Raw genomic sequence first — 14,036 nt, 5'->3', positions numbered from 1 at the left:
AGTCCTTTTGCTTCTAACCTATTTGCATCTTTATATTTAAAGTGAGTTTCTTACTGGCAATGTATTACTGGGTCTTGCTTTTCTATCTCTTCTGACAATCTCTGCTTTTTATTTGGAGTATTTAGACAACTTAAATTTAATATGATTATTGATATTTATTGGGTTTAAATTTACTGTCTTTTGTATTTGTCTCACCTATTCTTTGTTCTTTTCTCCCTGTTTTATTATGGTTGTATTTTATCTCTTTTCATAGCTTATTAGCTGTACTCATATGCTTTGTTTTTGTAGTAGCTGTTGTAGGGTTTATATCATACATCTTTAATTACCACAGTCTACCTTCAAGTGTTAAACCACTTCACGCATAAGAACGTATAACAGTGTCCTTTCATTCCTACTCATTTCATTTATCTACTCTGACAGTGTCTGCTTTTTATTTGGAGTGTTTAGACCATTTGAATTTAATGTTATTATTTATATTACTGCATTTATTTATTTAATTTTTAAGATGGAAACAAAACATCTAAAACTGTAGCTTCTGGAAGAACTGCTTGTTCTTGCCCGTTTTGTATCTCTCTTTGAGCTTGACCTTGGCCTCCCATTGGGACTTGTGTTTAAGAGCAGGATCTCTGAAGACATCCTTGTGGATGACAGTTTTGTGTAAGAGGATATCCACAGAGTGCACTGTAGGCGTAAGATGATTGTAGTTATAAACCTTCACAAAAGACTCGATCTTTGACCTCCTGGTAATCTTCTTTTTGCCCATGGCAGCTGTCACTTTGCAGGGATAGCGATCAATTCCAACCACGAGAGCTTGGATGTAGGGGCAGTCTGAGGTGCCATCATTAATGTTCTTTACGATGACAGCTTTGTGTTCAGCCAGAATACTGCTGGCCAGGACCAGCACCACTTTCCCAGGTTTCATGCACTTGCCCATTTTGACAGCAACCACCGAGGGCTACAACAAAAAGGAAGGAAGGCTATTATTGCATTTACGTCTAACATGTTAGTTATTCTTTAAATGTTTTAGTATAATTCACTAGTGAAGCCATCTGGTCTTGGGCTTTTTTTTTTTTTTTTTTTGAGACAGAGTCGCACTCTGTCACCCAGGCTGGAGTGCAGTGGTGAGATTTAGGCTCACTAAACCTCCTGAGTTCAAGCAATTCTCCTGTGTCAGTTTCCTGAGTAGCTGGGATTACAGGCATGCACCACTACGCCCGGCTAATTTTTGTATTTTTAGTAGAAATGAGGTTTTACCATGTTGGCCAGGCTGGTCTTCAACTCCTGACCTCAAGTAATCTGCCTACCTTGGCCTCCCAAAGTGCTGGGATTACAGGTGTGAGTCACCGCGCCTGGGCCTGGGCTTTTTTTTGTGGGAAGTTTTGTGATTACTCTTTGTCGTATGTTTATTCATGTTTTTTCTTGAGTTAGATTCAGAAGCTTGTGCCTCTCTAGGAACTTGTCCATTTTTTATCTAAGTTTTTGGCATACAGTTTTTAAAAATAACATTCCATTATAATATTTTTTCTTTCTTTCTTTCTTTTTTTTTTTTTTTTTTGGAGACAGAGGCTCACTCTGTTGCCCAGGCTGGAGTGTAGTGGTGCAATCTCGGCTCACTGCAACCTCCACCTCCTGGGTTCAAGTGATTCTTCTGCCTCAGCCTCCCGAGTAGCTGGGATTACAGGCATGCGCCACCACGCCCAGCTAATTTTGTATTTTTAGTAGAGAGGGGCTTTCTACATGTTGGTCAGGCTGGTCTCGAACTCCCAACCTCAGGTGATCCCCCACCTCAGCCTCCCAAAGTGCTGCGATTATAGGCGTGAGCCACTGCACCCAGCAAATAATTTTTTATTTGTAAGAGTTTATTTATTAAATAAAATTCTGGAACCATGCCACTAAGCCCAGAACCAAGAGCCTAAGCTATAGCAGGAACATCGTTTATATGTTTCTTTTTTGTTTTGTTTTTGAGATGGACTTTCGTTTTGCTTTTGTTGCCCAGGCCGGAGTACAATGGCGCAATCTCGGCTCACCGCAATGTCTGCCTCCTGGGTTCAAGTGATTCTCTTGCCTCAGCCTCCCGAGTAGGTGGGATTACAGGCATGCGCCACCACGCCTGGCTAATTTCGTATTTTTAGTAGAGACGGGGTTTTTCCATGTTGGTCAGGATGGTCTTGAACTCCCGACCTCAGGTGATCTGCCCGCCTTGGCCTCCCAAAGTGCTGGGATTACCGGGGTGAGGTACCGCCCCCAGCCCCTTTATACCTTTCTTACACAACTTTTATATTCTGTATGTCGTAAGTCCCACCTTCGGGGTCTTTGTAAGTATGAGTCTATCATTTAATGTGTTTTTTCTTTTTGTCACACAAAGTGGCTTACCTACTCATTTGCATGGTAATCTTTGGTTTTATAGGTTCTGGACTTACCCTGGAAACTCAAATTTAGCTACATTATCTTGTTTGGATGATACTTTATATCAGCAAGTACTCTGAAATCAGCCTACCTCCTCTCTTTTTTTCTCTGCTTCTAACTTTAGCTTCAGTTTTGAGTTCATTTGTTTGTTTGTTTTCTGAGACAGGGTCTCACTCTGTCACCCAGGCTGGAATGACCTTCCAGGCTCAAGCCATCCTGCAACCTCAGCCTCCCGAGTAGCTGGGATTACAGGCGTGTACCAGCACGCCTGGCTATATTTTTGCATTTTGTTGTAGAGATGGGTTTCACCATGTTGCCCAGGCCACTTTCGAACTCCTGGGTTTAAGCTATCCTCCCACCTCGGTCTCCCAAAGTGTTAGGATTACAAGCGTGAGCCACTGTGCCTGGCCCAAGTTTTTTCTATTTATTGTTTATTTACTTTTTGATGAGCAGTTAGGGGAAGAGATCTCCTCTACTTCCTATTGGGACCAACAATGCATTCATATATTTTACCTAGTATATTGTTGCTTTAGAATGGCAACAAGTTCTGTTAGAGTATCTAAACTACCATATGCTGTTAAGTGTTTCTTTTAAAAGTTTTATCAGGTACCTCTTTTTACCCTCAAGGTCAAAGAACACAATTTATTCATCTTTATACCACAAATATTCTAATACACAGATCAAAATAGAATACAACAGATGACTAGTAATTTTATTTCCATATTATTTGTACACATTTATGGGGTACACATGCAGTTTTGTTATGCATAGATTGTGTAGTGATCAAGTCAGGGCTTTTAGGGTACCAATCACATGAATGACATACATTGTGCCTGTTAACCAATTTCTCATTATCCTCCGCTCTTCCACCCCGTCACCCTTCTGAGTCTTCATCGTCTATCACTCCATTCTCTACGTCTATGTGAACATGTTTTTTAGTACCCACTTATGAGTGAGAACATGTGATACTTGTCTTTCTGTGCCTGGCTTGTTTCACTTATAATAAGCCCCTAATTCTATACATGTTGCTGCAAAAGACATGATTTTATTCTTTTTTTATTTTGGCTAAATAGCATTCCATTATGTATACATACAACACATTTTCTTTATCCATTTGTCCACTGATGGACACTTAGGTTGATTCCATTCTTTGTTATTCTGAATAGTGCTGTTATCAACATATGAGTGCCGGTATCATTTTGATACATTGACTTACTTTCCTTTAAGTAGATACCTGGTAATGGGATTGCTGGGTTGAATGGAAGTTCTATAGTTCTATTTTTACTTCTTTGAGAAATCTTTATACTGTTTTCCATAGAGGCTGTACTAATTACATTCCCACCAACAGTGTCTTTTTAATGATAGCCATTCTAACTGGGTTTACTTGTTATCTTTTTGTGAATGACTCCCAAATCTTTTACTCATGTCTAATGATTCTTTTGAGTTTGAATTGCTCGTTGGATATTTCTCATCACGTATTTGGTCAATACCTTAAATTCAGCATTTCTAAAACTAAACTCATTATTTTTCTTAATATGTATGCCTCTTTCTGATTCTCCTGTTTTTATTAGAGGTATTACCATTTTGCTGTTTGGTTGTCTTAATAAAGTAAATTAAAATGAATTTCCCTTGGAGAAGTTCATGGCATGCCTTGAGATTATGGACAAGCCTGGAATCTTAGAATATCAAGTGTAGAATTTGCTGCTCTGTATTTGGGTTATTAATAGCATCTTAGTAATAACAATATCTGTATTTATATTGTTACTTCACAGGTATCATTTCTTTCCTTTTTTGTAAACAACCTTGGGAGGTAGGCCAGGTGTATCTCTCATTTCACAGATATGGAAAGAAAGAAGGAAGGAAACAAACACAAACTGAGAATGCACTAGGTGCCAGGTTTTGTCACTGCTAAATGAAGGGAAACTGGCCTTTCTCTTCTCAATTCTCTACTCTTCATCAGCAACCAGGTTTGAAATATTAATGTCCTTGATCTTAGAAGTGGGAAGCATCCTGAAGATGTTCTAAATTATGTCCTTGCAAGGGATGGTCTGTGGACCTGTGTCAGTCTGCAAACTGCTTGTTACTGGTCTGTGATAAAATAAGTATGGAAATTATGAATAAGCTTTAGAAAATCGTATAATCATGTAACGTGCCTCAGCATCCAAGTGCGTCTTTCCACACTTAACTTGAGAAGCACTGATTTAGTCCTTCCATTCTGCAGTAATAGCATCTTTTTTATTTTTTCAGTTTTCCATAGGTTATTGGGGTACAGGTGGTATTTGGTTACATGAATAAGCTCTTCAGTGGTGATTTGTGAGATCAGTATTCACTGCACCCTATTTGTAGTCTTTTATCCCTTGCTCCCCTTCCACCCTTCCCCCCAAGTCCCCAAAGTCCAGTGTATCTTGCTTATGCCTTTGGGTCCTCATAGCTTAGCTCCCACATATCAGTGAGAACATAGGATGTTTGGTTTTCCATTTCTGAGTTACTTCACTTAGAATAATAGTCTCCAATCTCATCCAGGTCACTGCAAATGCCATTAATTCATTCCTTTTTATGGCTGAGTAGTATTCCATCATATACCACAGTTTCTTTATCCACTCGTTGACTGATGGGCATTTGGGTTGGTTCCATGATTTTGCAGTTGCGAATTGTGCTACTATAAATGTGTGTGCAAGTATCTTTTTTGCATAATGACTTCTTTTCCTCTGGGTGGGTACCCGGTAGTGGGATTGCTGGATCAAATGGTAGTTCTACTTTTAGTTCTTTAAGGAATCTCCACACTGTTTTCCATAGTGGCTGTACTAGTTTACATTCCCACCAGCAGTGTAGAAGTGTTCCCTGATCACCACATCCATGCCAACATCTACTGATTTTTGATTTTTTGATTATGGCCATTCTTGCAGGAGTAAGATGGTATTGCATTGTGGTTTTGATTTGCATTTCCCTGCAAATCAAATTTGCAATTAGTGATGTTGAGCATTTTTTCATATGTTTGTTGCCCATTTGTTTATCTTCTTTTGGGAATTGTCTATTCATGTCCGTAGCCCACTTTTTATTGGGATTGTTTGTTTTCTTCTTACTGATTTGTCTGGGTTCGTTGTGGATTCTGGATATTAGTCGTTTGTCAGATGAATAGATTGTGAAGAGTTTCTCCCACTCTGTGGGTTGTCTGTTTACTCTGCTGACTGTTCCTTTTGCTGTGCAAAAGCTCTTTAGTTTAATTACGTCCCAGCTATTTATCTTTGTTTTTACTGCATTTGCTTTTGGGTTCTTGGTCATGAACTCCTTGCCTAAGCCAATGTCTAGGAAGGTTTTTCCAGTATTAGAATTTTTATAGTTTCAGGTGTTAGATTTAAGTCCTTAATTGACCTTGAGTTGATTTTTGTATAAGGTGAGAGGATCCGGTTTCATTCTCCTACATGTGGCTAGCCAATTATCCCAGCACCATTTGTTGAAAGGGTGTTCTTTTTCCACTTTGTTTTTGTTTGCTTTGTCAAAGATTAGTTGGATGTAAGTATTTGAGTTTATTTCTGGGTTCTCTATTCTGTCCCGTTGGTCTGTGTGCCCATTTTTATACCAATACCATGCTTTTTTGGTGACTGTGGCCTTATAGTATAGTTTGAAATCAGGTAGTGTGTTGCCTCCAGATTTGTTCTTTTTGCTTAGTCTTGTGTTGGCTATGTGGGCTGCTTTTTGGTTCCTTATGAATTTTAGAATTGTTTTTTCTAATTTTGTGAAGAATGAGGTGGTATTTTGATGGGGATTATGTTGAACTTGTAGATTACTTTTGGCAGTATGGTCATTTTCACAATATTGATTCTACCTGTCCATGAGCATGGGATGTGTTTCCATTTGTTCGTGTCATCCATGATTTCTTTCAGCAGTGTTTTGTAGTTTTCCTTGTAGAGGTCTTTCGCCTCCTTTGTTAGGTATATTCCTAAGTATTTTATTATTATTATTTTTCTTTTGCAGCTATTGTAAAAGGGATTGAGTTCTTGATTTTGGTTGCTGTTGGTGTATAGAAGAGCTACTGATTGGTGTATATTAACCTTGTATCCGGACACTTTACTGAATTCTTTTATCAGTTCTAGGAGCTTTCTGGAGTCTTAATGGTTTTCAAGGGTAAACGATCAGATCATCAGCAAACAGTGACAGTTTGACTTCCTCTTTACTGATTTGGATGCCCTTTATTTCTTTCTCTTATCTAATTGCTCTGGCTAGGACTTCCAGTACTATGTTGAAGAGGAGTGGTGAGAGTGGGCATCCTTGTCTTGTTCCAGTTCTCAGAGGGAATGCTTTCAACTTTTCCCCATTCAGTATTATGTTGGCTGTGGGTTTGTTATAGATGGCTTTTATTATATTGAGGTATGTCCCTTGTATGCCAATTTTGCTGAAAGTTTTAATCATAAAGAGGTGCTGGATTTTGTCAAATGCTTTTTCTGCATCTATTGAGATGATCATGTGATTTTTATTTTTGATTCTGTTTATGTGGTATATTGCATTTCTTGACTTGCTTATGTTAAACCATCTCTGCATCCCTGGTATGAAACCCACTTGATCATGGTGAATTATCTTTTTGATAAGTTGTTGGATTCGGTTAGGTAATATTTTGTTAAGGGTTTTACCATCTATGTTCATCAGGGATATCGGTCTGTGGTTTTCTTTTTTGGTTATGTCCTGGTTTTGGTATTAGGGTGATGCTGGCTTCATAGAATGAAGTAGGGAGGATTCCTTCTTTCTCTATCTTGTGGAATAGTGTCAAAAGGATTGGTATCAATTCTTCTTTGAATGTCTGGTAGAATTCTGCTGTGAATAAGTCTGATCCTGGACTGATTTTTGTTGGTAATTTTTAAATTACCATTTCAATCATGCTGCTTGTTGTTGGTCTGTTCAGGTTATCTAATTCTTGATTTAAGCTAGGAGGGTTATATTTTTCCAGGAATTTATCCATTTATCCATCTCTTCTAGGTTTTCCAGTTTATGTACATAAAGGTGTTCATAGTAGCCTTGAATGATCTTTTGTATTTCAGTAGTATCAGTTGTAACATCTCCTGTTTTGTTTCTTATTGAGGTTATTTGGATTTTCTCTCTTCTTTTCTTGGTTAATCTTGCTAATGGCCTATCAATTGTATGTGTCTTTTCAAAGAACCAGCTTTTTGTTTCATTTATCTTTTGTATTTTTTTGTTTGTTTGTTTCAATTTCATTTAGTTCTACTCTGATATTGGTTATTTCCTTTCTTCTGCTGGGTTTGGGTTTAGTTTCTTCTTGTTTCTCTACTTCCTTGAGGTGTGACCTTAGAATGTCAGTTTGTGCTTTTTCAGTCTTTTTGATGTAGGCGTTTAGGGCTATGAACTTTCCTCTTAGCACTGCCTTTGCTGTATCCAAGAGGTTTTCATAGGTTGTGTCATTATTGTCATTCAATCTGAAGAATTTTTAATTTTCCATCTTGATTGTGTTTTTGACCCAAAGCTCTTTCAGGGGCAGGTTATTTAATTTCCATGTATTTGGATGGTTTTGAAGGTTTGTTTTGGAGTTGATTCCCAGTTTTATTCCACTGTAGTCTGAGAGATACTTGATATAATTTCAATTTTCCTAAATTTATTGAGGCTCATTTTGTGGTCTAGCATATGGTCTATCTTGGAGAAAGTTCCATGCACTGTTGAATAGAGTGTTTATTCTGTGGTTGCTGGACAAGGCCTTTTACTATTATATAATATCCCTCTTTGTCTGTTTTAACTGCTGTTACTTTAAAGTTTGTTTTGTCTGATATAAGAATAGCTACCCCTACTTGCTTTTGGTGTCCATTTGCATGGAATGCCTTTTTCTGTGCCTTTAAGTTTATGTGAGTCCTTATATGTTAGGTGAGTCTCCTGAAGGCAGCAGATAGTTGGTTGGTGGGTTCTTATCCATTCTGTGGTTCTGTATCTTTTAAGTGGAGCATTTAGGTCATTTACATTCAATGTTAGTATTGAAATATGAGGTACCGTTGCTTTCATTGTGCTCTTTGTTGCCTGTGTACTTTTGTTTTTTGTTTCACTTTCTAACTTGTATTTTTGTTTTATAGGTCCTGTATAATTTATGCTTTAAAAAGATTCTGTTTTGATGTGTTTCCTGGATTTGTTTCAAGATTTAGAGCTCCTTTTAGCAGTTCTTGTAGTGGTGGTTTGGTCATGGTGAATTCTCTCAGCATTTGTTTGTCTGAAAAACGACTGTATCTTTCCTTCATATATGATGCTTAGTTTTGCTTGATACAAAATTCTTGGCTGATAATTGTTTTGTTTAAGGAGGCTGAAGATAGGGCCCCAATCCCTTCTAGCTTGTAGGGTTTCTCTTGAGAAATCTGCTGTTAATCTCACAGGTTTTCTTTATAGGTTATCTGGTGCTTCTGTCTCACAGCTCTTAAGATTCTTTCCTTCGTCTTAACTTTGGATAACCTAATGACAATGTGTCTAGGCAAAGGCTCCCAGATCAATGGAGTTGTGTATTTAGGAGGATTATGGCTGCCTCTGCTGAATCACACAGGTTGTCAGAGAAGTGGGGGAAATCCGGCAGTCATAGGCCTCACCCAGCTCCCACACAATCTGAGGGGCTGGTTTCACTCCCACCATGCCCCACCTAATAGCCCCAGTCTGTTTCCAGGCAGTGGGTGAGCAGGGCTTGAGAACTTGTCCGAGGCTACCTGCCTCCCAGCTGCAAAAGAGAGGGGCTTTGGTTCTTTCCCCACCTGTGGAGTCTGCACAGACGATTTGTGGCCTTCCCCACATTCTGGCCAGGAGGCTTCTCGCCAGGTTCAAATTGTTACAAAGTTCAGCTGGAGATTTCCTTCTCCCTGTGGCATTTTCCCCATGCCTCTGGCTGCCCTCCCGAAAGATCTCTGTGATGCCAGGCAGGAATGACCTGCTTGGGGACCCAGTGAGCTCCCAGAGCGTTTCCTGCTGCTTTCTCTACCCCTGTTATTTTGCTCAGCTCTCTAAATTGACTCAGCTCCAGGTAAGGTCGGAAACTTCTCCTGCAAACTAGACCTTCAGTTTCCCCAGCAGCGGTGTGTGTTCGAAACGGAGAATCTCCCTTTCCTACTTCCGCAGTTTGGGCACTCACGGTATTTGGAGTGTCTCCGGATCCTGCAGGAGCAGTCCACTTCCTTCAGAGGGTCTGTAGGTCCTCTCGGGATTCCTGGTTTGTTCTTGCAGTTGTTCTGGAGATAAAATTCACTATGCAAGCCTCGGCACTCTGCTCTGTCTGTCCGAGTTGGAGCTGCAATCCAGTCCTGCCTCTCATCGGCCATGATGATCACTCCACTATTTTAAGCCAGTCCTAGGGGTAAAGTGCCATCTGGGGCACCCGCAAGTGCTGCGCAGCACAGGAGGCAGGCAGGGCCATGCAGCAGTGGCGGTGCTGTCCTAAGAGTGGGACTGGAGCCAAGGGACACTGAGGTGGTGATAGCGGTGGCAGGGGCGCAGGTGCATCTTTTTAAAATAACAGTTTTGGCAACTGATTATCGACCCAAGCTTTACCTTCCCTTTAAGATCTGCCTTTCCTCTCCATTTCCTTTTTCTATGAATGAGACTTCTGTTTTCCTAGTTATGCATATTCTAAGTCATTGAGTCATTGACTTTCTAATCTTTCATATTGAGTCACCAAAGTGAGTTAGTTCACTTATGATAATGGCCCTTATATGTCTTTTTTTTTTTTCTTTTTTTTCGAGATGGAGTCTTGCTCTGTCACCCAGGCTGGAGTGCACTGGCGTGATCTTGGCTCACTGCAACCTCTGCCTCCTGGGTTCAAGTGATTCTCCTGCCTCAGCCTCCCAAGTAGCTGGGACTACAGGGATGCACCACCATACCAAGCTATTTTTTTTGTATTTTTAGTTCCTTGTTTTATACATGATGTTACTGTCCTTCCCATTCTTTGTTGGTGGAAACTGCTGCCTGCTTATTGTCCCTTCTCTGGTCCTTGCCAGCTGACAAAGCTTGTCTTTATACATGCAGATTGCCTCATGCTCTCCAGTCCTGCTCCTTCCATCCTAGCATGGATCCTTGTTATCTCTTTGCTGGAGATTTACAGTAATTTTTTAACTGCCTTCTTCTCTCTCTTCTTCTGTTTATTTTATATCTGCTGCTGACTGTAATCATTGTCATGGCACACCTCTGTTACTGTATTTTCTTAACAGTTACAAAGCTTAGCAGTTAGGAGTGCAAAATTTAAAAAATTACAAGTCTTCTGCTTTACCTGTGGAATAAAGGTTAAACTCTTTAATTTGACATTTAAGTCTAGAAAGCTAACCTTACCTATCATTATTCCCTTACAGACCCCTTACCTTAGCCACACCAAGCTACTTACATTCTTGCTGTTCACCATCCTGTCTATCTCTGTGTCTTGTGTGTCTTGGCTTACGTGTTGTATTTGTGTGAGGTCCTCTTTCTTCAGGGTTCATTTCTGCTGTCACCTCCTCTGCAAAGCCTTTCTTTACTTCCAGCAGTCTTTTTTTTTTTTGAGACAAAGTCTTGCTCTGTCACCCAGGATGGAGTGCACTGCTGTGGTCTCAGTTTCCTGCAACCTCCACCTCCCAGGTTCAAATGATTCTCCTGCCTCAGTCTCCTGAGTGACTGGGATTACAGGAATACACCACTACACCTGAGTACTTTTTGTATTTTTAGTAGAGACAGGGTTTTGCGTTGTTGGTCAAACTCTTGACCTCAGGTGATCTGCCCACCTTGGCCTCCCAAAATTGCAGGGATTACAGATGTGAGCCATCGTACCCAGGCCTTCCAGCTGTCTTTCCAGTGAACTTCAGTAACACCTTACCCTGACCTCTGTTGTGGTACTTTACTGTTTTCTGTCTTGTGTGAAAGATATTTATCACATTTGCTAGCTCTACGAGAACTCCCAAGTGTAGACCTGCTGTCAGAGGTCAGGGAAAAATTCAAAATGAAGAATCCTGGGCCCTATACCATGGAGATTCTGGTTCAGTAGATTTGGGGTAGTTTGTAGGAGTCTGAAACTTTTAAGTGCTCACAGATTTTTCTGATTTGTGGTCAGATATTTGAATCATTGGCCTTTTTGCCCCACTGTTTTTGTTACTGTTTTTATTCTTTTTTGAATTGTTTTAACTTTTTGGGAAGTGTTTATCTTGTCCAAATTGCATTGCAAACTCTTTGAAATGTTGGTCTCTCTTCTGTAGTGCTGAGCATAATAGATACACAGTGAATGTTGAATGTTGAATAAATGAAAAGATTGAAGTAAAGTCCTTCAATTTGTAGATCTGTAGTAAAAAGTATACTGACGAGAATGTGCTTCTTAGGAGAGGTACTAAGTAGAAGTTTATAGAGTAGCCTGTTATAGACTATGCTGAAGGAAAGAAGAATAATATCACTTAAGAGAAACCCAGCAATGAATAGTAGAAGATTAGTAAGAGAATATATAGTCCATGGTGTCATGTGTGGTATTTACTTATGATAGCAGAGAAAGAAGCTAAAATAACAGGTCAGTTTTCAAGTCCAGTGGGCATTATTCCTAACGGTAAAAAGTAAGATCACATTTGTTCCATAAAAAAGTGGCCTTTTAAACCTTGCTGGTGGTAGCCATTGCTAAAAAGGCACTCTTTCTTGTTGAGCTTAGATGTTCCTTCAGCATCACTTCCACATAGCATTTCAGCCAGGACACCAATTAATCACATTATTAGCATGTGATGGAAAATCCTTTATGTAATCCCTGACTTATCAAATGCTGTTTAGGATACTTCCATAGTTAAAAAAATACATGGTAGAAGGCCGGGCTCGGTGGCTCATGCCTGTAATCCCAGCACTTTGGGAGGCCGAGACAGGTGGATGACAAGGTCAGGAGATCGAGACCATCCTAGCTAACATGGTGAAACCCCGTCTCTATTAAAAATACAAAAAAATTAGCCAGGCGTGGTGGCAGACACCTGTAGTCCCAGCTACTCATGAGGCTGAGGCAGGAGAATGGCGTGAACCCAGGAGATGGAGCTTGCAGTGAGCTGAGATCGCATCACTGCACTCCAGCCTGGGCGACAGAGTGAGACTCTGTCTCCAAAAAAAAAAAACAAAAAAACAAAACAAAAATACATGGTAGAATTAATGCGATCCCTACAACCAAATTTCTTTAGGTGGTTAGCAAGAAAAAGGTGGTTAAAAACCAGAATGGTTAAAAGGGCAGCTCTTAGATAATAAACTGTTAGAATTCGCTGCCCTATTTCTGGTATGACCTATCTTTTATGAAATTATGCTATGTGTTTCCTCATAACTGTCATGTCATTTACTCAGACTTTTTAGTAAGTAAAGGTAAAGAAATGAATTTTTTTCCTCAGGGGTCTCTAGTCACTTAAAATTTAGAAGACACTGGTATATTAAGTGTCTACTGATGCCATGCTAAGAAGGCTGTTTTTGAAAACACTGGATTAACTCTGTCCTTACTGTTGAAATACTGTACTTAGTTCAGCTCTGTTGGAATTCTCTTACTCTAATTGTGTGAAGTATGTGCTCACATGCCACAAAAGTTTTAAACCTGTGCATTCAGCTACATTTCCTAATTCTCGTTTACCCTGTCTAAAATGAGCCTAATGTGTAATCAGTTTTTCCTTTCTCTCCCTGCACTTTCCAGGTCAGATGATGATGATGCGGAGAGTAGGAGCTCCAGGGTGACTCAACTTTGCACTTACTTTCAGCAGAAATATAAGCACCTCTGCCGCCTGGAGCGGGCAGAATCTCGTCAAAAGAAATGCCGGCATACGTTTAGGAAAGCTTTGCTGCAGGCGGCCAGTAAAGAACCAGAATGCACTGGTCAGTTAATACAAGAACTGCGGAGAGCTGCATGCAGTCGAACCAGGTTAGAGCCACAGCAACCTATTCTTAAGGGACTCATCTCAGTTTGCTTTCTTTATTTTGTGAGAGGATAGTTGAGGCACAGTGGGAGATGACCACTAAGTCCTAAACGTTTAAGCATTATGTTTTGGTTTTCTTGCTTTATTAAAGTGCTACAGGTGGCAAAATAATACTGCCATGAGCTAACAGTAAAATTAAACCATTACTAAAATTTTGCTGAAGTTTGATTAGAATTTATTCATTGAAGATTTGAGAATGTTACCTGGCTTTAAAAAAATAGAATGCTTAGAAATTTCATGTTATTTAAAAGTAACATTTATAGATTTTTAACTACAAAAGTAGTATTTTATGTTTATTTACATGTGTTATTTTAGTTTCTTTTCAGTGTTGGTTTTCATTTTTTTGTTTTTAGAGACAGGGTCTTGCTCTGTCGCCCAGGCTGGAGTGCAGTGGTGTGATCATAGATCACTGCAGCCTCAAACTCCTGGGCTCAAATGACCCTCCCACCTCAGCCTCCTGAGTAGCTGGGACTATAGGCATGTGAAACCATACCCAGCTAATTAAAAAAATTTTTTTTTGTAGAGGTGAGGGTCTCGCTGTATTGCCCAAGCTGGTCTCAAACTCCTGGCCTGAAGCGATCCTCCCACCTTTACCTCCCAAAGTGTTGGGATTAGAGGTGTTAGCCACTGTAGCTGGCCTTTTCAGTGTGTTTTCTATTAATATTTACATTACCTCACAGATTATTTGTGCAAGTATTTTATTACATTGAATTTTTTTTAAGAAAA

At 39.7% G+C, this 14,036-nt stretch overlaps 1 protein-coding gene and 1 pseudogene across 8 annotated transcripts in view; one reads left to right on the top strand and one right to left on the bottom strand.

Moving 5' to 3' along the window:
* The window catches only part of INO80D (INO80 complex subunit D), a 92,454-nt gene that overhangs the window by 44,809 nt on the left and 33,609 nt on the right, over positions 1 to 14,036 (top strand). For all 8 annotated transcript variants that reach the window (XM_047444830.1, XM_011511375.3, NM_017759.5 and 5 more), the window contains one exon: positions 13,031 to 13,255. In XM_047444830.1, the coding sequence (XP_047300786.1) occupies positions 13,031 to 13,255 (225 nt within the window). The remainder of the gene's footprint in view (positions 1 to 13,030; positions 13,256 to 14,036) is intronic.
* On the bottom strand, positions 489 to 977 carry RPL27P8 (ribosomal protein L27 pseudogene 8; annotated as a pseudogene).

This window comes from Homo sapiens, chromosome 2 (genome assembly GCF_000001405.40).
Source record: "Homo sapiens chromosome 2, GRCh38.p14 Primary Assembly".
Lineage (NCBI taxonomy): Eukaryota > Metazoa > Chordata > Mammalia > Primates > Hominidae > Homo > Homo sapiens.
This window is presented reverse-complemented; position numbering and strand designations above follow the sequence as displayed.